General features: G+C 55.7%; 1 protein-coding gene across 6 annotated transcripts in view, besides 4 other annotated features; it reads left to right on the top strand.

Moving 5' to 3' along the window:
* Positions 1–25,499, top strand: part of MYO18A (myosin XVIIIA) — a 109,277-nt gene that overhangs the window by 44,111 nt on the left and 39,667 nt on the right. For 4 of the 6 annotated variants that reach the window (NM_203318.2, NM_078471.4, NM_001346767.2 and 1 more), the window contains exons 3-17: positions 14,035–14,122; positions 14,331–14,437; positions 14,565–14,741; positions 15,077–15,290; positions 15,530–15,672; positions 16,853–16,953; positions 17,848–17,911; positions 18,099–18,243; positions 19,833–19,844; positions 20,448–20,624; positions 20,847–20,937; positions 21,189–21,381; positions 22,191–22,277; positions 24,425–24,566; positions 24,705–24,864. In NM_203318.2, the coding sequence (NP_976063.1) occupies positions 14,035–14,122; positions 14,331–14,437; positions 14,565–14,741; positions 15,077–15,290; positions 15,530–15,672; positions 16,853–16,953; positions 17,848–17,911; positions 18,099–18,243; positions 19,833–19,844; positions 20,448–20,624; positions 20,847–20,937; positions 21,189–21,381; positions 22,191–22,277; positions 24,425–24,566; positions 24,705–24,864 (1,901 nt within the window). Of the gene's footprint in view, positions 1–11,599; positions 11,636–14,034; positions 14,123–14,330; positions 14,438–14,564; positions 14,742–15,076; positions 15,291–15,529; positions 15,673–16,852; positions 16,954–17,847; positions 17,912–18,098; positions 18,244–18,577; positions 18,599–19,832; positions 19,845–20,447; positions 20,625–20,846; positions 20,938–21,188; positions 21,382–22,190; positions 22,278–24,424; positions 24,567–24,704; positions 24,865–25,499 lie in introns of all 6 variants that reach the window. The other 2 variants (NM_001346765.2, NM_001346766.2) reach the window with 2 other exon arrangements.
* Positions 2,903–3,197: an enhancer, noted in NCBI's record as "tiled region #390; K562 Activating DNase unmatched - State 5:Enh". NCBI's record gives its function as "activates a minimal TATA promoter and a strong SV40 promoter by Sharpr-MPRA in K562 cells {active_cell/tissue: K562}" and the evidence as "EXISTENCE:reporter gene assay evidence [ECO:0000049][PMID:27701403]".
* Positions 8,276–8,811: an enhancer, noted in NCBI's record as "H3K4me1 hESC enhancer chr17:27454495-27455030 (GRCh37/hg19 assembly coordinates)". NCBI's record gives its function as "activates a minimal SCP1, AML or CMV promoter by ChIP-STARR-seq in naive H9 embryonic stem cells {active_cell/tissue: H9 hESC(naive)}" and the evidence as "EXISTENCE:reporter gene assay evidence [ECO:0000049][PMID:30033119]".
* Positions 18,823–19,117: a silencer, noted in NCBI's record as "tiled region #1183; K562 Repressive DNase unmatched - State 25:Art". NCBI's record gives its function as "represses a minimal TATA promoter and a strong SV40 promoter by Sharpr-MPRA in K562 cells {active_cell/tissue: K562}" and the evidence as "EXISTENCE:reporter gene assay evidence [ECO:0000049][PMID:27701403]".
* Positions 18,953–19,002: a silencer, noted in NCBI's record as "silent region_8363". NCBI's record gives its function as "represses an Ori minimal core promoter by ATAC-STARR-seq in GM12878 lymphoblastoid cells {active_cell/tissue: GM12878}" and the evidence as "EXISTENCE:reporter gene assay evidence [ECO:0000049][PMID:35858748]".

The following is a 25,499-nucleotide window of genomic DNA, read 5'->3' as shown; positions in this document are numbered from 1 at the left end:
TGGGATACATTACATATATATATATATATATATATATTTTTTTTTTTTTTTTCTTTTGAGATGGGGTCTCACTCGGTCACCCAGGCTGGAGCATGCAGTATTGCGATCTCTGCTCACTACAACCTCTGCCTCCCAGGCTCAAGCGATCCTCCCACCTCAGCCTCCCCAGTACCTGGGACCACAGGCATGCACCATCGTTCCCAGTTAATTTTTTGTGTTTTTGGTAGAGACAAGGATTCATCGTGTTGCCCAGGCTGGTCTCAAACTCCTGAGCTCAAGTAATCCACCCACCTCAGCCTCCCAAAGTTCTGGGATTACAGGCGTGAGCCACCACGCCCGGTCCATGAGATGTTTTGTTTTGATATGGGCATGCATTGAGAAACAAGCATGTGCTTGGGCAATGGACAATGGGGTCTCTACCCCCTCAAGCATTTATCCTTTGGGTTATAAACAATCCAGTTCCAGGATAACTTGCTCTTGATCCTAAACAAATTCAGTGATAAGGGAGAGAGGAAAACTGTCTAGGCAATTCTGCATAAAAGCCACAGAGAGAATTTCCTCTGGGGAGAGCCCCACATCTGTGTTCAGAGTGAAGCTCATAGGAACAGCTGATGCAGAGGAACAGGCCTGGGTGGAAATGGCCCGGTGTCCTCACAGCCTGGGCCAGATGGGACCTCTATAGACAAGTAGGAAAACTTGAACAAGAGATCAAAGATCAAACGAGTTAAAATTACACCAACAGACAAACTTAAAGTCTCTAGCACATTAACTGAATAATAAAACAGAAGTCAACAAAGCAAAATAGAAATAATTAATTGAAAACAAAACATTTCCTAATTTTTAACTATTATTCATGATAAGCAGTTTTAAGAATGAACCAGTTCTTGGCCGGGCGCGGTGGCTCACCTCTGTAATCCCAGCACTTTGGGAGGCCAAGGCGGGTGGATCACGAGGTCAGGAGATGAAGACCATCCTGGCTCACACGGTGAAACCCTGCCTCTACTAAAAAAATACAAAAAATTAGCTGGGCATGGTGGTGGACACCTGTAGTCCCAGCTACTCGGGAGGCTGAGGCAGGAGAATGGCGTGAACCCGGGAGGCGGAGGTTGCAGTGAGGCAAGATTGCACCACTGTACTCCAGCCTGGGTGATAGAGTGAGATGAGACTCTGTCTCAATTAAAAAAAAAAAAAGAACCAGTTATTAAACTCCACTGAAGTGCCCTGATTCTTTGGATGCAGCCTCTCCCTGGACTGAGGCAGATTCTGACTTGATTTTTCAAGCGGCCCAGCTCTGGTTTCTAATCCATAGATGGACAGTTTTGCAGTTCTCCGGGCCTCTTGCCCCACGTAATTGTGTGTTACAGCTGGAAGGCAAAGTCGCTGGGGTCCTGAGGCAGATTCCTCAATTCCTCTCCTAGGTCACAGGCCTGCAACTTTGGTTTACTGTATTAAGGGTTTGAGTGTTGGCTGGGCGTGGTGGCTCACACCTGTAATCCCAGCGCTTTGGGAAGCTGAGGCAGGTGGGTCACCTGAGGTCAGGAGTTCGAGACCAGCCTGACTAACATGGAGAAACCCCGTCTCTACTAAAAATACAGAAATTAGCCGGGCGTGGTAGCGGGCGCCTGTAATCCCAGCTACCTGGGAGGCTGAGGCAGGAGAATCGCTTGAGTCCGGGAGGTGGAGGTTGCAGTGAGCCGAGATCACGCCATTGTACTCCAGCCTGGGCAACAAGAGTGAAACTCCGACTCAATAAATAAATAAATAAATAGAGTTTGAGTGCCTCTCCCCACGTAGACTCCTAAGGTGCCAGACATGGAGAGGCCTTGAGCCATTGTCTAGACTAGCCCCTAATTCTACAGAGAGGCCCAAAGAGGCGAAGTGGCTTATTCAAAGCACACAGCTTCTGGCCGGGCACGTCAGCTCACACCTGTAATCCCAGCACTTTAGGACGCCAAGGCGGGTGGATCACCTGAGGTCAAGAGTTCGAGACTAGTCTGGCCAACATGGTGAACCCCCATCTCTACTAAAAAGTACAAAAATTAGCTGGGCGTGTTGGTGCCGGGGAGGCTGAGGCAGGAGAATCACTTGAACCCGGGAGGCAGAGGCTGCAGTGAGCCGAGATGGCACCATTGCACTTCAGCCTGGCCTACAGAGTGAGACTGCATCTCAAAAAATAAAAATAAAAAAATAAAAACAATGCACACAGCTTCCAAGGGTAGGGAGTGCTATGTTCTGTGCCTACTTTCCTTCATTTTCCTTTAATATTTTATTCCTTACTCCAATGCCCTCTTGAGTTTTGTAATCCTTCCTCCTCCACTCCATCCCTCCTTTCCCCTTGTTGCCCACAGTGTTTATCCTGGCAGGTTCTGGCCTTTGGGAAGACTCAGAGACACTGAGAGACCCTGCCCCCCATTTCTTCTCTGACCCAGGGCACAGGTTACCTTCAGCGCCATGGCCTTTTCATCAAGGTTCGCCTTCTGGGAGCAAAAGGAAAGTTGGATTTTAAAATCTTTATGTTTTTCCTGTGTGCTTGGCATGTTGTATCTGCAGGCAGGAGACTGGCTTGTGGGAGAGGGAGCTTTGGAAGCTAGAGATGGATTGGGGCATGTGTGTATAATTGGGGGTGGCAGGGAGAATGACGGGGGCTGGTGAACTCCCTATTCTGGCTGGATGGGCTCCTGCACTGAGTCATGCTTCTCCCCTAAGCCCCACCTCTGGTAAGGTGAGCTGCCTTTTGTCCTGCTGGTGTCCCTCTGGGTTAACCCCTCCACACCCTTCCCACCACCCTGCTGCCTTGACTCACCCCTGGAACGTGGGCTGCTGTGGAGGGACCGCTGGAACTGGGTCTCCCTGATCCTGGGGGCTGCAGTGGGTTAGGAGGACAAGGGGCCAAGGGTGGGGAGTCAGGCCAGTTGGCCACCTGGGTCCAGAGGGTGATTCAGGCCACAGACTTGGGACTGCCTGTGTGTGTGCCTTTATGCGTGTGCATAGTCCCCAGCTGGGCAGTGACCTACAACAGCCAGAGCCCTTCTGATGGGGGAGGGAGGAGTGAGTCAGCCTGATGCTAAATCCAGAGCTGAGCTCAGAGCTGGGCCCAGTGTTTCAGACACTTGGGGGGCACCCAGTGTTTTCCCCAATGCCACACCTTGGGCCAGACATTTGGGGTCCCAAACTTGAGCCACTGGAGGGAGGACAGATTTGGAGCTGGTGAAGAACACAGAGTGGACTTGGAATCTGGGCCACCCCGGCACCCAAGTTAACAGCACTGCGTGCAGTAATGAGTGTGTCTGTGTGGTTTGCGAACACTTGTCCTCCCACTAACCTGTGTGCCCCAGAACTACTGCATGGTGTGATCCCTGGGGCAGCAAGGGGGAGAGTGATGGCTTGGTGGGGGGCAGCAGGCACAGACCTAGACCCTGCCACTCTTCCTCCCTCTGTCCACCAGTCCCTCCCTTCCCTTTCTCTGCTCCGATTCCAATTCTTAAAGAAGTAGGCTCCACTCTGGTGAATATTTGCCATTTCCCCTCGTCCTTGGCATTGTGAGCTAACTATGAAGATTGAGCCCGTTGCAGATAGCTCTGTGGACAAGATGCAGCTTTAAAACTGCAGCAGCCATCACGCCAGCCAGTGCCCCTGGCACTGCTAATTTGAGCTCAAAATTAGCCACAGACCCTGGTTAAAATTGGAGAGTCCCCCCAAGTGGATCATGTAAATGATTCTGGATGTTTCTAAAGATTTTTTCCCTTAGGAATCAAGGACTTCTTGCCATGCTCCTACCCACATTGTGCTGGGAAGGAGAGGCACGCTGAGGAGGAGGTAGGGTTGGTAACAGGGCTGTCTTTTTCCTGTAGTCCTAGGTGACGCGGGAAAGAGGAGAAATTAAATCCATAGGACTGCCTGAGCTTTTGGAGGGAGAGATACTGGTGAGGGGAAAGGAGAAGACTTTTTAAAACTTGAGGCCTGGCCTCTCTGAATCTGTTGTGAGCCAGTTTCTGAACTGAAAGAACCTTCAGAGCTTCCACATCATCTGCCCTTTTTCCAGATGTGTGATGGTATCTGCTGTTTCCACGACTCCACTCCTCCCCTCTGACTCAGGCCAGCCAGCTCCTGGGCTCCAGCACAAACCCCTGGCCCCAGTGTCCAGAGCTTAGGCATCTTTCCTTCCTCCATACCCCGCCCCTAACTTCAGGGTTCCCTCCCTCGGCTGCGTGGTTGGCAGTTTTGTGGGTCTGAGGTTGAGAAAATATCTGGCCTCCTGAATCTCCGCCTCTGCCCCACTCCCTGCCTCCAGCAAGATCTCAGCTGAGCTGGGGGAGTTGTGCAGGATCAAGAAGTAAGCCAGAGCCAGCCCAGTAGGGGCCAACCTTCACTCTACTCTAAAAGCTGCTGGCCCACAGGTACCCACACTGGGTTACTTTTACCTCCTCAGTCACTAGATCTGGGGCTTTTTGTTCAAACCACTTCTTGCCTGAGCTAGGGATGACTCTTGTAGTTTGGATGAGTTAAATTAGCTGGATCTTCCCATCTGCCACGTAACCAAAGCCACGATGGCACTGTGGGTGGACCTCTTTAGACAGCCCCCAAAGTGGGCAAAGTGGCTGGTTGCTGAGGGCAAGGGTACTTGGCTTTTTCCCCCACAGACTCTTCATTCTTGAAGTCATCACTGAACAGTTCTGATTCTAGGATAGGATAGCTCTTGCCCAGGTCCCCTAGCCCCGGTATTCCTAAAGACTCAGGAGCTCCACCTCAGGGTGAGGGAGGCCCCTTGAATGTTCTCTCCCTGTGCTTTTAGTGCTGGGTCTCCCAGCCTTGACCTGCCAGTGACTTCTTCATCTGCTCCCTCAGGTTAAAGAGGAGGACAAAACTCTGCCAAAGCCTGGCTCTCCTGGCAAGGAGGAAGGGGCTGTAAGTGCATCCTTGAGTTCTCCGAGGCATGCGTGTGTGTGTGCGGGCATGTGTGTGTGCATGCGTGCATGTGTGTGTGCGTGTGTGTGTTTGCCCCTGCACCCACTAGCCCTGGACTAGCCTGTGAGACAGCTCCATGGAGTAGGTGGGGATTGCAGGGGGCCCCTTCCTGTGTGGCTCAGCTGAAGAGAATTCTAGTAAAGGGGAAGAAAGTACGGTGTATGTGATGCCAGCTTCAGGTGTGTGAAGGAGATGGCCAAGGTGCTTTGGGGACCTCCCCTAACCTCCTCCCCAATCCCCTTAAGTTGCCTCCCTTTGGTTCTGGTTTCCTGAACCCTTTGGGCCTGGAGAGGCTTGGGTGGGCAAACTCTTAGGTCAGGGAGCGTCGAATGAGAGCTCAGCTGTTGGGATTCTTCAGCCTGCTCTGGGTGGCACAAGGCAAAGGCATGGAGGGACTTCACTGTAGTCGCTGCTGTCTCTTCCAAGACCCTGTCAGCTGCTTGGTGCAGGTGACCTGGAGGCAGGCTCCAGCTACTCACTGCCTCCAGCCCCAGCGCATTGGGATAGAGACCCTGAATAAACCTGGACTCTCCTAAGGCAAGAATAGCCTTAGGTTTCTGAATAGCCAAGTCCAAAGATGTGTAGTTAGGAGAGGGCAGCTGGTAGCACAGGGGGCAGGAGTGCCCAGGGCTCTGGGGCAGAGCTGGATCACAACACATATTCTTACTTCATTACCCCAGATGGTGCCTGTCCTGGCTCCCTGCACTTCCTTGGTCAGTTTGATTAGCCAGGCACTGTGGCTTCCACCTGATCTGCAAACAATCCTGGAAAGCCAGCCTGTGATTTGAAAGGGTTGTGTGTGTGTGTGTGTGTGTGTGTGTGTGTGTGTGTGTGTGTGTGTGTGTGTGGGAGAGGCCTCAGAGTTGCCCAGAATTTATTTTATTTTATTTTTTTTGCAAAAACTACATGTAAAGTGCTTGGAAGAGTGCCATGGCCCATAGTGAGTACTGTGTAAGTCTTACCAATTACTATCATCATCATTGTCATCATTTTCTTTTCTTTTTTTTTTTTTTTTTTTTTTTTGAGACAGGGTTTTACTCTGTCACCCAGGCTGGAATGCAGTGGTGCCATCTCAGCTCATTGCAACCTCTGCCTCCCAGGCTCAAGCCATCCTCCCACCTCAGCCTCCTGAGTAGCGTAGCTGGGACTATAGGCACACACCATCAAGCCTGGCTACTTTTTGTATTTTTTGTAGAAACAGTTTCACCATGTTGCCCAGGCTGGTGTTGAACTCCTGAGTTCAAGCAGTCTCCCTGCCTTGGCCTCGCAAAGTGCTAGGATTACAGGCGTGAGCCACCACACCTGGCCCATCGTCATCATCTTAATGATGGAAGGGGGATGGGAGGAAAGCCAGAAGAGGGAGGGGAGGAGTGTAGGATCCAGTGGCTAGGGCCACTGGCCAACTCTGCAGTGCCCTGGCATGCCATTGAGCACTCTTGGCCTAAGAGGTTGAGGAAGAGGCACCTTCAAGCCCTTACTCTCTCTATCCCTTCAGCGGAGCCAACCTGTAACCAGGGCCTAGATTAAGGCCCTTGGCTCAGCTCTGCTCAAAAGGTGGAGCAACTTCTCCTTGTGGCATCCAGAGGCAGCAGCTCCCAGGTGCGCCTACTGTGAGCGTCTTCCTGCATCCAAGCAAGCATGGGCAGGTGGGCCTTCACGGAGCCCAGTGCCCATATGTGTTCTAGAACCAAGATCATTGTTTTGGGTAACAAGGACTCAAGCACAGCTCAGCTGGTGACAGAGCTCTGCTTGGCCAACAAGGAGAACCCAGGTTGCCCTTACGCTCCCCAGGCAATGGAGCTGGCTTTATGGGAAACTCTATCCTGCCGTTAGCCAGCCTGGCCTTCCAGTGGCAGTCCCTTGGGACCCAGACAGTTAGCACCAGTGTGTGGGGGAAGGGTGGGCACACCAGCTAGAGTATACCAGTCCACTCCAGGGAAGATTGGAGCTGAGGCTGCTTGAGGGCTATACACACTCTGGGAACTAGGGGGTCTCCAAACCCTTGAGAGGTTTGCAGGAGGAAAACTGCAAGGAGACTGGCAGAAAGCAGGCTGAAGTGGAAGCTTCCTGGCCCGTGCTGGGCTCCTCAGTGCTTGAGAACATAGATGAAGGGCAGACAGTGGCCGCAGACGAGGGACGCTGTGAGGAGGAGGCCTGGCATGTCTTGGGGCCAGGAAGAGCTCCCTGATCATTTTTTCCTTCAGGATGGGTAGGCTCTTGGTCTGACTGCCCGGAAAACAGGTGATGGAAGGACCAAGGACTACAAAGGTCAGGACGCCCTGGAGTTAGGCCTGGGATTGGTGGTAGGAATGGAGGTGGGACTCGGCTGTTTGACCTCTCCATGCTCCATCTCTGCTGTGTCCATGCTCCATCTCTGCTGTGTCTGGGCTGCGAGGCAGTGGGCTCACCTAGAATGGGACTTGGTTGCTGCCCTGACACAAAGCCAGTAACCCCAGAGCACCTCATAGGCCTCTCGGCGCTCTGTGCCGGCATCTCACAGGTCCATGCTAAGTCTGGGGATAGACAGCAGGTGACAGTAGTACCTGATTGTGCTGATTGTGCTTTGTGGGAAAGAAGCCAGACTCTTAGCTGCAGTTGTCCTATTTGTAAGATGGAAAGTGGGCTTCCTGGGGTAGCCTCGTGGAGCCATGTGTTGCTTGGTAGATGAATGGGAGATCTGTTCCAGGGCGTGAGGTCACACCTTCTTATTCCCTCTGCATGGGATGGGCAGGGCTGCAGGGGTGATGCTAATGTCTACCTGTATTTGTATGACTGTAGCTAGAGGGCAGCTCAAAGGAAGGCAGTGGCCCATCTAGGAGTCCTCAGCCTCCCACCAGCCCGATACCCCCAGAGACTTCCCAGAGAGCCAGGAGCCCTGCACCCACACTCGCCATGAACGGCCCGGGAGCTGCCACAGCAGAAGGCCTAAGCGAAGAGGCCCAGGGCCTGTCCCGGAAGCGGGTGGCAAATGCAGTGAGGAAGGTGGTGAGTAAGGTGCTGCCCAGCGAGGAGCTTGGGAATGCCAAGGAGACCCCAGGCAGAGGAGTCAAGTCCCCCGAGCACCCGACTCGAAGCAAGAGGGGAGAAAAGGCAGCTTCTAGTCCCAAGCCGCCACCCCCTCCCCCACCTCCCCCTGCTCCGCCTAAGCCTGAAGTGAAGAAGGAGGCAGCCAAGGATGAGCTCTCCCTGGGCCTGCGGAGCCTGATGTCTCGGGGCAGGGGCAAGGAGCACAAGGCCCGCGGCAAGCAGTCTTCTGGGAAGGGGGAGAAGCCCTCCAGCCAGGAGCCAGGCTCCCCAGACTGGGCAGACTCCCCTGAGAAAGCAGGATCCCCAGCCAAGCCTGAAGCCCCAAAGAAGCAGCGCTCCCCAGCCCCACCGGAAGAGCTGGTGACCCCAGGCTCCACCGGCCCGAAGTCAGACCTCACTGGAGAGCAGCAGTCCAAGTCACCAGTCCCTGGTGTGAAGCAGGAGGTACAAGAGTGTGTCACTAACCGCTCCTGCCCCTCACCACCCTAGCTCAAGGGCCAGGCACCCTCACAGCCGGCTTCCCCAAGCGACCTCAGCGAACCCCGCATGACCGAGAGGCTGGGCCCAGGGTCGTGTGCTGATGGCCGGCAGGGGCTGCATGGCTTTCCCTAACCCAATGCGGACCCTGCAGTTGCCTGGGCTCTGGCCTGGCGGCTGGGATGGAAACTGCTAAGCAGCATGTTGGCCTTGCCATAGGGAGTCAGGGCCTGGTCCCCAGCTACATGGCGCCAGCTTGAGGCCTGAGACCCAAACCCGAGGATCAGAGTCTCAGCAGATCAGTTCCAGGAGGAAAGACTGTTTTCTCAAGTCAGGGATCTGGGCTTGCATTCCCAGCCACTCATCCCCTGGGACCTCAGCAAAGTCCCATCTCAGACTTCCTCTGTTGAGTGGGGATAATACAGGTCCAAAATTTCTTCTCTGATACCCTGGGTGTGGCAGTATTTTGGAAATTAGTAATCTTTGTATTTTAGTGCCATACAGTATACATAATGAGCAACAACGTGTAACAAACATTAATATTTCCAAAGCAAAATCTATGAATATTCACACTACAGGGGCATAGAGGATAAACTGCCAGGTTTTGCCGCCAAAATAGTTAAGAAAAATATTTTGTTTGGGGGGGCTTTTGGGATTTTGGAATTGCAAATAAGGGTTAATAAGGGTTTTAAGTAACCAGAAGATTAGAAATGATACAGATAATGCTCCAAGCCGGTCCCTGGCATGGTGGGTGCTCCATAAATGGTAGCGTTGATAGTGGTGCTAATAACAGTTGTTATTGATGCCCTCACTGCCATCACTGCCTTCTTTAGGCCTGGCCAGCATGACCATCTGGCAGCAGGACTCTTGAGGAGCCCTGTGCTTGGATGGCAGATGGGTACAGTGGGCCCCTTGGGATATAGGGGCAACCCTATCTTCCCAGAAAGTGTTCTCTGGGTGGGGCAGGAGGCTGAGAAGCAGGAGGGAGGGTCAGTCCAGCCTCTTTCCCTTGGAAAGTGTTGCCTTCTTGGCTGGCCTCTGAGTTGGGGACAGTTCTCTTCAAGCTTCCCTTTTTTGGACCCTGCTGAGGCCTCCCAGGGTGTGGGAGAGGAGCATCAAGTTTTGCCACTACTTCCCTGTGCTCATGCAGGCTCCTTCTGGCTGGAAGGAGAGGGGTCTGGAGGGTATGGGGGAATAGCCTGAGAGGCCTTGAGGCCCTCCCTGACTGTTACCTCCTGGGACCTGGGGAGCCTTGTTGCTCCCCATTCTTCCTGGGCATTGCAGCACTTAGAGAAAAGCCAGCCGCCGCTTCCCCCACCCACCTGGCCCACTCTGTGAATCAGGGAAGTGCCTGTTCCTGCTCACAGGGAGGAGCTGGCATGGGCATTTTGGGCAGGGTATGGGCAGAACTGTTGGTCGCTCTGGAGAACCCATAAGCAGGTGGGGAGTGTCGTGGTCCTGTTCCCGGGCGGCTGCCCTCCCCTCCCTCCTCCCCGTCCCTCCTCCCCGTCCCTCCTCCTCTCACAAGGGAGGAGATGGGAGCTGAGACATGCCCTGACCTGGAGTTTAGCCACCTGTCACCTGGGCCTGGGGAAGGGTCCAGAGGGCAAGTGGGATAATAGGGCCATTTGGTGCTCAAGATAGGCAGGTGGGAAGAAATAACCCCAGAACTCCCAGGCACTTGTTCTTTTTTTTCTAATCTGATGGTTTAAAAACTCAGATTGCCGCGCGGCTTGCTCCCTGGCGCTGCTCCCCTTCCCTAGTGGGTCCCAGTGGCTTCCTGGGCTGGGAGCTCCGCATGCTGTGGCCTCTCCATTTCTGGGCTGGGACTAATAGTGGTTTAACCTTTAGGCAGGAGCTGCCAAGGTCCAGCTGACCCCCGTGGAAGAGGCCCACCAGCGGCTGGAGAGGATCTTCACAGCTTCTGTAATGCCACTCTTGTGTGTGGGTCCCAGTCCCTGGCCGCCCTCTTCCTGAGGCTGGCGGCAGGACCCTGTGTGTGTCTGTAGGCGCGCTGACCATGAAGATGGCTCCATGGCGGCCTGTGGGCCCTCATGTTGGGCTCTCTCTTAAAGAAATGAGAGAAGTGCTCTGGGGAGAGTGGTTCCTCCAGAGAGCCCAAAGTCCTGTGCATGTGGGAGGGCACCCCTCCTCGCTCAGGGCCCAGTCCCTTTCTCTGGCCACATTGTCCTGCCTCGAGGACATGTGTTGGTGTCAGGGCCTGGCGGGTGGTAAGGAAGGTTGCTGTCGCTATTTTTGGTGACCTGGCTCTCTAGACCCAGGTGGGGCCTGATAACTCCTTGCCGATTTCTAACAGGTAACATCCAAGTCCTGGTTGACTTGCCTTCCTCCCCAGAAAGGCTTTTCAGGGCTTTAAGTAACCAGAGAGGTCACGGCTGGCCACAGGGTTTGCCCACAGTGCCTTTGCTCTTGGGCAGCTGTCAAGTGGTCCCCAGGTTGGATCTAGATGGGGTCGGTGTGCCTGGCTGGCAGAGGTGGGAGTGCTATAGGGTACGTCGGGGTTGAGGAAGAGATTCTAGACTGCAAGCTGCTGGGAGCTGTGTTCTATGAGAGGTGCAGGGCGACAGCTCTGAACACAGCCCTTGGCCTAGGGAGTGGCACCCTTGGGCTGTGTTAGAAGGCAAGGAACAGCTCTGTGCTGGTGGCCACAGGGGAGCTAGGCTGAGAAATGCTCTGGAGATAAGGCAAGAGGCTGGCAGGGGGCCCAGGCCTTGGGTGTGGTGAGGTGGCCTGACCTGGTAGACACACAGAAGAGGGAGCCTGATTCAGAATAGACCGGATGGCCAGCCCAGGAGAGACTGCGGCCAGAGGCAGAGTGGCAGACTCCTGCCCGGGCCACCGGGAATGACTTAGAGGAGCATCTCCTCTGAGAGGCCTGATGGTCACTAGTGTCTCTTCACCTTCCTGGCCTCTCCTTGACTGGGTGCAGTTCACCTGCTCAGGCCAGGTCCCAGGTCCTGGCACCAAGCTCCCCCACCTTCACCCCGAGCCTTGGACAACTAGAGAGTGCCGGCCCACTTGACTCAGGAGCACTTGCTGAAGGGGGCGTGCCAGTGGTCTGCTTATCTTCACCCTTCTTCTCTCTCTCTCCTTTGCTTGCTGTCGGTAGCTGGACTCTGAGGCCGCCTCTCATGCCCACAGCCAGGTAGGGTGCTCTCCCCCCACTCAGGAGCCCTCCGCTCCCTCCAGTGACCACCTAGCCCCACTGGCCTGCACCTGGGCTGGCGTCTGTGCTCGGGCCTCCTGCTGGAGTGTAAGGCCTCTTTCCCCTCCAGGCTCCCACCCTGTGTCTGGGAGGACCCCAGCGGGAGGTAGTGCCGGGAGCTTGAGATGGTGCAGCTCTGTGTCAGGCCCCTGGGGAGCATCTAGACCGAGTGTCGCCCTTCAAGTTGGGCCCATGTGGCATGTGGTTCTCAGCCACTGGAGCCCAAGGGGGGCCTGGTTGAGTTCTAGGTGTTTCAACTCTGCTCACTCTGGAGAGAGAAAGCTGGAAAGGCAGAATCTCTGCCCTCTTCCCAGCCCATGCCTGAACGTGAGACATTCTCTGTCTCCACCTCCTGGCCAATGTGAGAAACCCATTTTCAGATGAGCTTTAAGGGAGTTAGTTACAGGCTATGATGTCACCTTATTCATCAGTCCCCAAATACCTGGCCCATAGAAGGTGTCTATTCAACATAAAGGTCTCCCCTGTCTTATGTGATTTGAGAAAAAATATATATATACAACATTGTAATGATTTTTTTTTTTTTTGAGATGGAGTCTCGCTCTGTCGCCCAGGCTGAACTGCAGTGGCGCAATCTCGGCTCACTGCAAGCTCCACCTCCTGGGTTCACGCCATTCTCCTGCCTCAGCCTCCCAAGTAGCTGGGACTACAGGTGCCCGCCACCATGCCCAGCTAATTTTTTGTATTTTTAGTGGAGACAGGGTTTCACTGTGTTAGCCAGGATGGTCTCGATCTCCTGACCTCGTGATCCACCCACCTCAGCCTCCCAAAGTGCTGTGATTACAGGTGTGAGCCACTGCACCTGGCCATGATTTTTATAGTTATAGTTCTTCAAATATAAAGAACTAGCCTTTTTAATGTCCTCACTTAACACACCAAAATGTGGCCAGCCACGTGGTGATCCTCCTATTCAGAGTTATTTCATGGGTCCATGAAACCCGGAGATCTGGGAGCCACTGGTGCAGCCCAGCCCTCCTACTCCAATCTGGGGAAGGGCCGTCCAGCACTGGAGGGATCTGTCTAAAGCCAGAAGCCAACCTGAGAGGAGAGCCCACGTCTCCTTTACTTTCAACTCCAAGAAATGTGACAAAGAACATACTTCTTATGTTTTCTTATCTTTTCCTGATTTCTCACCCAGGGGGTCAGGACCCAGCCAGTGTCCATGCCTGGGCCTCAGGTTTCAGGCTGACTGTGCCTCACAGCTGGGGCCCTCCGAGAGTGTAGGGGCTCGGGCTAACCTGAGGGTGGGTCCATGCCACTGGGGTGCCCATCCCCCACCCGGGGCACGGGATGACCTTGCTGCCATTTCGCCCACACACAACAAGAGGAGCCCGATGGGCCCTGGGTCCCTCGTCTGTTTCCCCAGCTCCCCCAGACACCGTTTCTTCCCAGTTCAAGTGTCCTTCTTAGAGGGTGCCAGGTTTGACAGCCCCACACCGTCAGTACCTATGAATGCTTATGTCTGAGTTGGTGACCTCCTGAGGCCTCTGGGGGCTTCTAGCCCCTTTACACCACTCCTGTGCCCATCTGTATAACGTGTAAGCCTCTCCCTGTGTTTGACAGGGCAGGGCTGCCCCTACCCCCATATCTCTGGCCGCACTGCCTCGTGCCTTTGTATGGCATTAGCGTGTCCACTAGGTCTGTGTGACAGGGGTCTTTGCTGATGGCGGCATGGAGAAGGAGCAGGGAGGCTGATGTGTGCACCTGGGCACTGTCCCCCGGTCCGGGTAGAGCACCCTCTGGAGGGGAGGGCCAGGGCTGAGGCCAGGGCTCTGAGCCCACCTATCATTCTGTACTGCGAAGTCCAGGCGACTCCCCGCTGAGATCTGAGGACATGCCCTCTCCCAGCTTGGCAAAGGAGGCCCTATCATTTGGATGAAGGGAGAAGCTGGGCACGGAAGATCCTAGTAGCTGTGGCTAGGGTCTAGGGCCTTGGACTCAGGACACTGATCTCCTGGGCTTGACAGGGTGGAGGAGCAGAGGGTGGCTGAGGGAGAACCTGGTGATTTGCTTTCCTGGGGTCTCCTCTTTCCTGGGCACAAGATCCCTGTGTCCCTGTCTTGCCAGACCCTCACTGATGGTACGGTCTCTAGCCTTTGTGTCCTGTCCTCAGGGCTCCTTAGAGCCACCCTTGCCTCCTAGCTTCCCCACCCTCTTTCCCAGACACCTCTGATGTCCCTGTGTTCTGTGTCTGTCACCTAACTCATTCCTTGCCCAGTGGCTTGTCTCAAAGCCCATGCCCTCACTTGTCTCCCCTCTACGGCTGTCCTTGTCCCTGTCTTCCATAGCAGGGCCTGTTTATTCTTCTCTCTCTCTGACAGGCGAAAACAGAAGAACAGATTGCAGCAGAAGAGGCCTGGAATGAGACGGAGAAGGTGTGGCTGGTCCATAGGGACGGCTTCTCACTGGGTGAGTCTCAGAGGGTCTGGGGGCACATGTCAGGACTCACTGGTCTCAGGGCTGGGCAGCGAATGTGCCTTCTGCATCTGGTGAGGGCTGAGCAGTGAGCAAGGAGAGGCTGGTGATGCAGTGGGGGGGAGGATAGGACCGAGAAGTTCCCAAGTGGAGTAGCAGAGGCTTCCCAGGCCCATCCCAGCTGTCTGTCCCTCCCCTGCAGCCAGTCAACTCAAATCTGAGGAGCTCAACTTGCCTGAGGGGAAGGTGCGTGTGAAGCTGGACCACGATGGGGCCATCCTGGATGTGGATGAGGATGACGTTGAGAAGGTAGGTGGGCAGGGGGCTGGGTGTGGGGGAGGAGGCTCAGGAGTGCACTGGGCAGGGCAGGCCCATCCTCTGGCAGCGGAGATGGGCTCTGCTGCTCTAATACCCACCCGCCTGTCCTCCCACACAGGCTAATGCTCCCTCCTGCGACCGTCTGGAGGATCTGGCCTCACTGGTGTACCTCAATGAGTCCAGCGTCCTGCACACCTTGCGCCAGCGCTATGGCGCTAGCCTGCTGCACACGTATGCTGGCCCCAGCCTGCTGGTTCTTGGCCCCCGTGGGGCCCCTGCTGTGTACTCTGAGAAGGTGCAGCACCCTCAAGGCTACCCTGCAGACTCCTGGTCCCACCCCCTGCCCTGGCTCTCTGCCCTTCCCCTGTGGCACCCCACTGGGCTCCTGTCCACTCTCACAGTTGACCTTGGGAAGAGGAGTCATTTCAAGAGATGGGGGACAGGACCTCCCCACAACCTTTGATGGAGTCCAGGACTTAGTGTCTTCATTTCCATGCATGGCCTTGGCCTTGGAATCCCTGGGCACTACAGGAGGGAAAATCCAGAAAGATGTGGACCTTGGGGGTGAGGGGTGTCTTAATGGGATCAGCTAAGAGCCAACCCCTTCTCTCCCTTGCTCTCCTGCCCAAGGTGATGCACATGTTCAAGGGTTGTCGGCGGGAGGACATGGCACCCCACATCTATGCAGTGGCCCAGACCGCATACAGGGCGATGCTGATGAGCCGTCAGGATCAGTCAATCATCCTCCTGGGCAGTAGTGGCAGTGGCAAGACCACCAGCTGCCAGCATCTGGTGCAGTACCTGGCCACCATCGCGGGCATCAGCGGGAACAAGGTGTTTTCTGGTGAGGCAGGGACAAGGGAGAAAACTGAAAGTGGGGTGAGGGGAGGGGAGTGAGGAGAGAGCACCCTCTTAAGTGCCAGCTCTTTTTCTCCCTGGCCTTTCCATCCCCCCGAAACCCCTCTGTCCACGGGCAGTTCTGGTCTGAATGGCCCCAAGCCTTCATACCTCTGGGGTAGCTCCTAGCTGGGGGATAAGCTGCCCCTGGCTTTCCTGATATCCCCTTGGGCCTGTATTCTGCAGTGGAGAAGTGGCAGGCTCTGTACACCCTCCTGGAAGCCTTTGGGAACAGCCCCACCATCATTAATGGCAATGCCACCCGCTTCTCCCAGATCCTCTCCCTGGACTTTGACCAAGCTGGCCAGGTGGCCTCAGCCTCCATTCAGGTGAGAGTGCTGCCCAGGACTCGGGGTAGTAGGACACAGGCCACATGATTTCATGACCTAGACATCAGGCTCTCTCCCATGCCTCATTTTCCTGGGATTCTACCCTAACAAAATTGACCCAGGCATGGGCAGGGTTGGCCTGCACTATCCAGAGGCATCACCATTCTGCCCTCAGGGCCTCCTGCCCTGGATGGGGCCAGTCCAGCTTTCTGCCCAGTTCCCTTCACTCTCCCAACCCTGGGGTTGTCCTAACTCTACTGCTGGGCCTCAGCCTTACTTCCCACTTTCTGAGATTCATGCTCGGGGCTTCTCTCGGGCCGATTTCACCTAGCAGAGGACTGGCTTGTCAGTAAAGTAAGGCCCAGCCAAGGCTGATTCCCTCCCATGCTAAATACCTCACCACAAGCTCCCATTTCCAGAAGGCAGGCACCTGGGGTCTGGGCAGAGCAGCAGGGCCCCTTTGGGAGCTGGGCCTGTCTTCTTCCACCTCATTCTGGTTTCTGTCCCCCATTTGATCCTAGAGGGATCTGGTATCTGATTGAGCACCTTGGGAATAAGATGCACCTGCTTAATTGAGCCAGATGTGGTAGTGCACGCCTGTGGTCCCAGCTACTTGGGAGGCTGAAATGGGAGGGTCACTTGAACCTGGGAGGTTAAGGCTGCAGCGAGCTGTGATTGCGCCACTGCACTCCAGCCTGGGCAACAGAGCGAGACCCTATCTTAAAAAAAAAAGACTTAAAAAACAAGATGCAGGTTGGGTGCGGTGGCTCACGCCTGTAATCCCAGCACTTCGGGAGGCTGAGGTGGGTGGATCACCTGAGGTCAGGAGCTCAAGAACAGCCTGGCCAACATGGCAAAACCCCATCTCTACTAAAAACACAAAAATCAGCCGGGTATGGTGGTGCATGCCTGTAATCCCAGCTACTCAGGAGGCCAAGGCAGGAGAATTGCTTAAACCCAGGAGGCAGAAGTTGCAGTGAGCCAAGATCGCTCCACTGCACTCCAGCCTGAGTGACAGAGTGAGACTCCATCTCAAATCTTAAAAAAAAAAAAAAAAAAAAATGCAGCTGCTTGTTCCCCAGGGCCTAGAGGACCATGTGTTTGATTCCTTCTTATGTGGGGTGGGAGAAACTTGATCTGGCACTACCCTCCTTACCCACACGTCCATGCTGTGTCACAGACAATGCTTCTGGAGAAGCTGCGTGTGGCTCGGCGCCCAGCCAGTGAAGCCACATTCAACGTCTTCTACTACCTGCTGGCCTGTGGGGATGGCACCCTCAGGTGAGATGGGTCAGAGGGTACACAAGGGTTCTCTGAACTCCAGCCCACTGACTGGGCTCCTGGACCTTGATTGCATCCAGAATTAAAGCCACTTGATCGCATCCTGCACTGTTTGGTCAGTGCATGTCTGCTATGTGCTAGGCTCTGAGCTAGGCCCCAGGGACAGTGAGATGGATGAGACATAGTCCCTGCCTATCAAGAACTCCCTGGTCCTGGGTACTGGGGCCTGGCTGTATTGGAGGGGAACAGCCAGCCCTTCAGTGTTGCCAGGGCCTAGCTAGGATCTCCATTACCCATGAAGCCAGTTCTGGAAAGCAAAGCACACTGAGGTACCAGTGGTTGGGGACTTGCCTACTGTCGCATGACTGGTAGGGGGCTGAACTGGTATTTGAATCCACACTGGGGCCAAAAGCCCATGCCTCTTCCAGTGCCCTCCAGACTAGCCCTTCCTGCCCCACGTTGGCTGCCTCTGCCACGCTCTTCCCTTCAGACATTCAGATTTGCCGCGTGTGTTCACTAAAAAGAGATAAATGATGAGGCTGAGCCAGCATCCCCAGGCCATTGTCCTCTTTAGCCCTTCTTGTAACTGAGGGCATCGTCTCTGCCTTGGCGGGACTCACCCTTCGGGCAGGTTCCCTGCTCCCTTCCGGGGGCCAGGTTGCATCCTCTCACCAGGGCATGTCTGGTGGCTTGTCCTCAGGAGAATGGTACTCTAACCAGGCATCCAGGCCAGTTAGGAAAGCAGTGACAGCTGGCCCGCCAGTTGGGGATGATGGGATGATGGGCAGACAAAACTTGGAGTCTGGAAGCTGAGTCTGTCTGTCTCCACCCTGGGCGGAAATGGCCTTGGCATGGGGACCAAGTGCCGTGCTGATGCCTTATTTGTACCCCTAGGACAGAGCTCCACCTCAACCACTTGGCAGAGAACAATGTGTTTGGGATTGTGCCACTGGCCAAGGTGAGGGGTCTGTGGGGTCTGGGTTGCCAGCCCTGGGCCTTGGGGGTAGGAGAAGCCTCCATGGGTCCTGTGGGAATAGTGGGAGCCCAGCTCCAGCTGCTGGCTCTACCCAAGCCTTGCCCTGAGGGCCCAGCCTCATGGGGGTGTGCTGGGAGGGACAGCCCTTTGAGGTCATCTATCTCCACAGCCTGAGGAAAAGCAGAAGGCAGCTCAGCAGTTTAGTAAGCTGCAGGCGGCCATGAAGGTGCTGGGCATCTCCCCCGATGAACAGAAGGCCTGCTGGTTCATTCTGGCTGCCATCTACCACCTGGGGGCTGCGGGAGCCACCAAAGGTAACCTGCAGTGGGTCCCAGTAGGCTGGCCTGTCCCCTGGGTGACCTCACAGGGACCCTGCCCACTCCCAGTTTATTCTTGCCCAGCACAGACTTAGCCGTTCTGAGACAACCCTCTTTTGCTTGTGCCTCTTCTCAGCCCCCCACTTCAGAGCAGAAGGCCCGGGAAGCATCTTTGGCAGTGACGACCCGAGGCCTGGACTTAGCTGGCTGTGCTGGGGGGCACCATGAGGAAGCATGGAGGGCTGGGGGTTCAGAGGCTGAGGGATGAGAAGGGCACTAAGGCAGGGCAGCCCCGCTGGAATAACTCTCCTTCTTGTTCCCTTCCTGACAGAGGCCCCCGAGGAGCAAGCGGGTAACTGACCTTGGCCCCGCCCTTGGGTATAGGGGCCGCCGTGCCCTGTCTTGGTGCTTGCCCAGGACTTTCTAGGGGCTGGGCTTGTTCTGTTGCTGCAGAGAGGACTGGTCTGGGGAGAAGCCTGGAGGTTGAGAGTGGAAGTGGAGCCTGCAGGCTGTGGGGTGTCTTAGAGTCCCAGGAGTAGCTGCTTCTCCTGCCAGTTTTAGATCTGAATCCTGGAACCTCTCAGGATGCCCACCGTGGGGTGGGGTAGGGTGGGCTTGCTACCTGGGGCCTCCCCAGACCAGTTTTCCCCAGTCCTCTTCCCTTCTCCACTGGTTGGGTAGCTCCGTATCTTCCTCTTGCATGTCAGGGTGGCGGCCACTAGGGGGCAGCAGGCACCGTGGTAACGAATGGGCTGCAGCTTTGGCACTTGCGCTCGGGGACTTGGCCTGGCTTGGAGGAGCTCTGCTCCATCCTTCAAGATGACTTACGTTGGAGGATGGCGATTCGAGCACCTCTTCACCCCCTTTTTCTCCAGTTTAGGGAAAGGGGATGCTGGCGCTGAACAGCACCTTGGGCTTTGGCTTTGGCCCCTTCTGGGATGTGAAGGGCCCCAGGCTGCTCAGCTGGAGTGAGAAAGTCCTGGCAGGTGGTGGGTGTATGGAGGAATGGGTGCCCAGGCGTGAGGCTCCATGCGAGCGACCCCAAGAAGTGGCATCCCTGCCCAGGAGGAGCCAGGCTCTAGGTTAGAGAAGTTTTCTCGAGAATGTGGAGGACAGACAGGCGGGCAGGCGTGTGGCTGTGTGTTGAGGGAAGTTACTTCACTCTGAGGCGGTGACAAGCCTAGCTTTCCTCTAACCTACCCAGCCCCAACTGCAAGCGGAAAGCTCCGGGTGTCAGCACAGCGATCTTCTCAAACAATGTCTGTTAGCGCCTCAGAGCTTCCAGTGTTTTCCGGCGGGGGGGGGGGGGGGGGGGGAGGGTGTGTTTGCGCACACACACATGTGCACAAATGTCTTTGCGGGTCTCTTTCTGTGTGTGTCAGTGTGATTACACCCACAAACATACTCCCTGGAGACTGTGTGTGTGTGCGTTTGTCCCAAGTCTGACTGTGGTTGTGTTTTCTTGCCTACTCATCCTCACAACACCCCCGCCCCACGGTCCCTCCGAGGCGGCGAGCTCTATTGATGACTGTTTGCTAACACACTGTTTTTCTTTGCATGCTGCATGCTGGTCCTTTGCCTTACAGAAGCTGCTGAAGGTAAAACCTTGTTTCTTGTTAGCTTTCCCTAATTGCCGTGATTAGACACATGTTGGCTGAGGCACATATGTCTGTGCGGGCTGTTCCCTTTCCCCTGTGGCTTTTTTGCCTCCCCACTGTTGGGCCATCAGTGGGTGTTTGTGGTCTCCACTGGCAGATGCCAGGGGGCAAGAGGGAGGGTTCTAATGTACTCAGGGAATGTGGAGGCATGAGCGATCTCTCAAGATAAGTCCCCCACAGGCACACGGGGTTCTTGTGCCCATCCCAGGTGGGCTGGTTCATCCTCTGACTCCGCCCTTCCCCTAGTTGGGCATCCCCGGAGCTGAGCCATCTGAAAAGGGATTTTTGCAGCTGGTTTGTTGCCCTCCGGTGGCAGCATGTGGAGTTACCTCCTCCTTTAGGACCTGCTCATTCTCTCCATCCCCACGGGACACAGGAAATGCTGGCCACTGCTGGCTGCCCCTGTTCTGCCTGAAGCCCATCGGGTGTCATCAGGGCTGGCTTTTGCCTCCAGAAGATGCATAGTCATCAGCTGGTCATCAGGTCATCAGCTGGCCTAAGGAAAAAGACCCAGGATGCCAGATCCCTTTTTCCACTCCACAGCTGGGCGCAAGCAGTTTGCCCGCCATGAGTGGGCCCAGAAGGCTGCGTACCTACTGGGCTGCAGCCTGGAGGAGCTGTCCTCAGCCATCTTCAAGCACCAGCACAAGGGTGGCACCCTGCAGCGCTCCACCTCCTTCCGCCAGGGCCCCGAGGAGAGTGGCCTGGGAGATGGGACAGGTACCCTTTGTCCCTTGGCTGGTAGTTGTGAGTGTGAGGCCTCATCTGGGGCTTGCTGCCATCCCTGGGGCGGGAGGGGACTGCTGGAGTGAACAGATGCTCTGTCAGTGGCAGAGGCCCTGCCCCAGGCCCCGTGCTGACTGGGCCCTGGGCAGGTCAGGGGCTTACCCAGATGGGGAGCCCTGGGGAGAAGGAGATAGCGCTGCTCCCCCTGCCCCACAGGCCCGAAACTGAGTGCACTGGAGTGCCTTGAGGGCATGGCGGCCGGCCTCTACAGCGAGCTCTTCACCCTTCTCGTCTCCCTGGTGAATAGGTGAGTGCCAGGCAGGACCCAGGGCTTTTCCTGCTTTGGCAGAGGTGGAGTAGATGCCTTCATGCCTTGTTGGCCGAGGCAGAGCCGGTCTCTTCCAGCAGGGGCTCCCTGTCCCATGGGCTATGAGCAAGGCCAGCATGCCCTCCCCACCAGGGTCCTGGGCAGGGATAGAGGTCTGGCTTGGGCAGGGTGGGGCTTCCTGGTGCCCGGGGCCAACCAGCGAGGCTCTGACCCAGGCTGTCCCTATCCAGGGCTCTCAAGTCCAGCCAGCACTCACTCTGCTCCATGATGATTGTCGACACCCCGGGCTTCCAGAACCCTGAGCAGGGTGGGTCAGCCCGCGGAGCCTCCTTTGAGGAGCTGTGCCACAACTACACCCAAGACCGGCTGCAGAGGCTCTTCCACGAGCGCACCTTCGTGCAGGAGTTGGAAAGATACAAGGAGGTAGCTCTGGGGCCTGGGCCTCATCTAGCCTCAGATTCTGGCCTTGGCACCCACAGCGAGGGCATCTGTGGATGCAGAAGGCATCACCTTACTCTCCATTTCTGTCCTCCTGCGCTCTCTGGAGCAGGAGTCGTTCCTTGCCCCCTTGTCCGTGGCCTCTGGCTTTGGCTACGTTCTTACTTGGTGGAGAGTTTACTCTCCAGGAAGCCTACAGGTGCATTGAGGGCCCCCAGGAGGCTACCCTTGGCCTCTTTTGAGGCACCTCCCAGGCCTGGTGATTGCCACTGTGTGGTTCCTGCTCCAAGTGTGTCTGGGCCTGGCCTTCCCGTCTCCCTTCCCTGATCTGTGAGGGTGCCAGGTGATGATTTAGTGCCTTCTGTAAAAGGGTGTCCCGGATGGGACGAGAACTGGAAATCCTGCCTCATCTGGAAGTGAGTTGAGTGAATTGTCAGGATATTTATTTGGGGCGAGAGAGGATTCAGAAGGAAAATGGCAGTTGTCTTCAAGTGTTTCAAGGATGATTGTGTGAAATTGAGAGTGGGCTTGTTCTGTGTTGCCTAATCAACTCATGTGAGTAATGAGAATGTGACTCTGGCTTCGGATAAAAAGAGGTTCTGAGAATTTTAGCTGTGCAAAAAATACAGTGTGTTTCCTTGGGAGCTGTTTCATTTGGGATGATGGAGGGAGCTCCTGCACGGCACAGAAGGAGGTTGGCCTTGCTGATCTCAGAGCCCCTTCCCAGCCTACTCACAAGGCTGTTCCCCACAATGTGACCCCCATGCTCACTACCGCTCGGCCTTCTTTCCCAGGAGAACATCGAGCTGGCGTTTGACGACTTGGAACCCCCGACGGATGACTCTGTGGCTGCTGTGGACCAGGCCTCCCATCAGTCCCTGGTAGGAGCTCCAGAGAGGGTTTGGGCAAGCCTTTCCTCTCGTTCCCCACCCCTCTCCCCGTGGTGGAGCCCTCCCCATCTGAGCTGCTGCTGGGGGTGCCACTGTGGGCTGAGGGAGGGTCCAGCAGCTATGCCCAGACACCAACTACTCTCTGGTGCTGGGGCTCTGCCCCTCAGCACTCAGGCAGTCTTGGCCAGGAAGGTGGCACTTTCTTCTGCCCTGGTGCCCTGGGGAGCCACAGCCCATGGGGGTCCCAGTCAGGCAGGAAAGCATATCTCCTTTCTCAGCAGCTGAGGCTCGGGCCCCAGCTGGTGACTGGCTGAGCCTCCAGTATGTCTGCTAGGAGCCCTGGTGACCAGTCCCAGCTGGTGAGGGCCTAGACCCCAAGGACATAGTCATTCCCTCCCATTGTCCCCAAGTAGAGGACTGGTGCAACCTAACAGAACAGGGCCAGGAGCCAGCCTCCCGCTCCCAGGGGAAACAGTGCTAAGCTGTCAGACGCCCTCTGGGGGACTGTCATGGATATGAACCCTCACCCCTCAACTTTGGGGGCAGGCTTTGTCACCCTTTGTGCTAGTGTCCTGGGCACCTTGGCACTCGGTGGGGGACTGGCTGGCCTAGCAAACTCTTGGCATTTGGCGATTGTCCGCCATTAGGGAAATTGCATAAGGTGCTTTATTGGAGAACTGGCATTTTTGCGAGGCTGCCGACCTCCCTGCTCTGCTTTGATCCCTACCTCTCCCTCCCTCTTCTCTGCCATGAGGCCCTGCTTGGCTTGCACAAGTGGTGGGGCTGCGAAAGAGTGAGTATCCCCCCGGGGACAGATGTTTAAAGTGCCCAAGCACCGCATCTCCCCAGGGAAGTGAATTTTCTTTTCCTGACACCTGGGCTCCTATGGTGGCCTCACTCAGAACCGTTGTGGTTCCCGGGAGAGGGGGGATGTCAGCATGAGCAGCAGGAGTCAGACAGCATGTGGGAAGAGCTTGGCTCTCCTTTCTCTTCTGTGGTCTCTCCTGACTAATGGACCTTGGCATGGGGCGGCTGCACCCCTGGGGAAGGGGCCCTCGGTGCCAAGCCTGTCTTCCCATCTCATTGCTTCATTGCTCGTTCCTGCTACTCGGTTCCTGCCACTAGAGTTGCCTTGGCCTTTGGCCACATTCTGCTTCCTTCTGGTAATCACGCCAACTCCCTTGGGCATCTGCGGGGAGGAGATGCAGGCAGCTGGGGTCAAAGAGAGGAAAAATGGCCCTTTTCTCACTTCTTTTTTCCTCCAGCCCCTGAAGGCCAGGCCAGAATAGGGTGTGGGGAAGGTTCCATCCTTCCTGCCCAAGAAAGATGCAGGAACTCCACAGAAAAGGCACCTTCAGGCCAGATGTGGCCACAGGCCTAGTTTGTTTGGCCTTCATGGGATATTGGAAATTAGAATTAGATATTTCTACCTTCTCTTGAAGAACCAGAGGGTTTATCAATGCTAGGCCAGTGTTCTTCCAGGAGAGCAGCTAGCTGCAGCTCAGTGGTGGTTTTTCCCTTTGGATAGGGATACCTGCTCTCTAGCTTGCCCCAGCCTCTACCCGTTTTGGCTGCCACGTCCGTTAAGTCACCTGTCTTATGCTTTTGGCCCTTGAGTGACCCTGCAGTGATCCCACTGGCAGCCATCTGAGCCCCCTCTGGGTTCTCTCCTTTCAGAGACCAGGATTAACCTCACAGCTGTCACTTACTGACAGCTTCCTTAGGGCCAACTCTTGTGCTCAGGGCCTTCCAGACTTTATGCCACTGCCAGGGAGTGAGAGCAATGTGGGGTTCATCCAAGTCCCTGGTGACCTCCGAGGGGACGAGGGTGGAGGAGGGCCTCGGGGCGCGGGCTCGGGCCAGCAGGAAGGCTGCAGTCTTTGGTGACTTTGGACTGGAGTGCTAAGCACCCTCTTTTGCTGTGGGCTTCCCTCTGCTCACTTTCTTGGCTCCCCTTTCCCCGGGCTGCCCGCTTCCTCCACAAGGTGTCAGCAGTGAGCGGCAGGAGCTGCGGCATGTGCGTGTGTGCATGTGTGCACATGTGTAGCATTCTGTAGGGTGTGTTTGGGCCCGGCACCACCCTGGCCCCTTTCCCACAGCTCCATATGACAAGGAGGGATTTCCTTCCTTCTCTGTAGGTCCGCTCGCTGGCCCGCACAGACGAGGCGAGGGGCCTGCTCTGGCTATTGGAAGAGGAGGCTCTGGTGCCAGGGGCCAGTGAGGACACCCTCCTGGAGCGCCTTTTCTCCTATTATGGCCCCCAGGAAGGTGACAAAAAAGGTAGGTGGCATCCCTAGAGGGTAGCTCCTCTGCTTCCTCTTACATACAGGTGGGTCCAGGTGGCACTCCCTGGGAGGGGGCGGGGGTCACTTTGTGCCTGTACCCTGACGACCTAAATCTTGCTTCTCCCACCATCAGGCCAAAGCCCCCTTCTGCACAGCAGCAAACCACACCACTTTCTCCTGGGCCACAGCCATGGCACCAACTGGGTAGAGTACAATGTGACTGGCTGGCTGAACTACACCAAGCAGAACCCAGCCACCCAGAATGCCCCCCGGCTCCTGCAGGACTCCCAGAAGTAAGACCACCACTCCCTCCGCCCCTGTTCTGTACCCAGGACTGTTTTGATTTTGGGGCTCCCTCCCCCTGGGGTTGTCTCAGAGGCCCCCTCACTAGCAAAGTAGATGGCCTTTATTCCTGAGAGGCAACAGCCCAGGGCACTTGGCCTTGAGGAGCTTGAGGGGCCTCTTGAAGTAGAGGTGGGAGGCAGACATGGTGGGAGAGCCTATGGTTTAAATGTGAAGAACACCCTCAAGTCAAAGAAGGCAGGAGCGGCCTTAGAACCCCCAGCCCCACGGGCCCTGTCATCCGTTCTACTCTTCAGAAGATGGTTAGTGGGCACCTACCCTGCGACAGGGGCTTCTAGGTGCTTGGCAGATAATAGTAAACAAAACTGAACTCCCTGCCCTTGTGGAATTTACATTCTAATGGGAGAGACAGATAATGAACAATAAACATAATAAATAAATTATATCGTATGTTAGAAGATGTTGAACCCTAACCCCTCCTGTCACATTGGAAACTCTTCCACACCTTTGCCCTCCCTGGTGAGGGGAAGTAGATGAGTAGATTGATCCCCTCTGTCCGATTCCTGTCCACCCCTTGGCTTCTGCCCACCTCTGGCTTTCTCTCCTTACTGTTTGAAAATTTCTC

The sequence above is a fragment of the Homo sapiens genome, chromosome 17 (genome assembly GCF_000001405.40).
Source record: "Homo sapiens chromosome 17, GRCh38.p14 Primary Assembly".
NCBI lineage: Eukaryota > Metazoa > Chordata > Mammalia > Primates > Hominidae > Homo > Homo sapiens.
The sequence above is the reverse complement of the archived record's forward strand: the minus strand, read 5'-3'. Positions and strand labels throughout refer to the sequence as shown.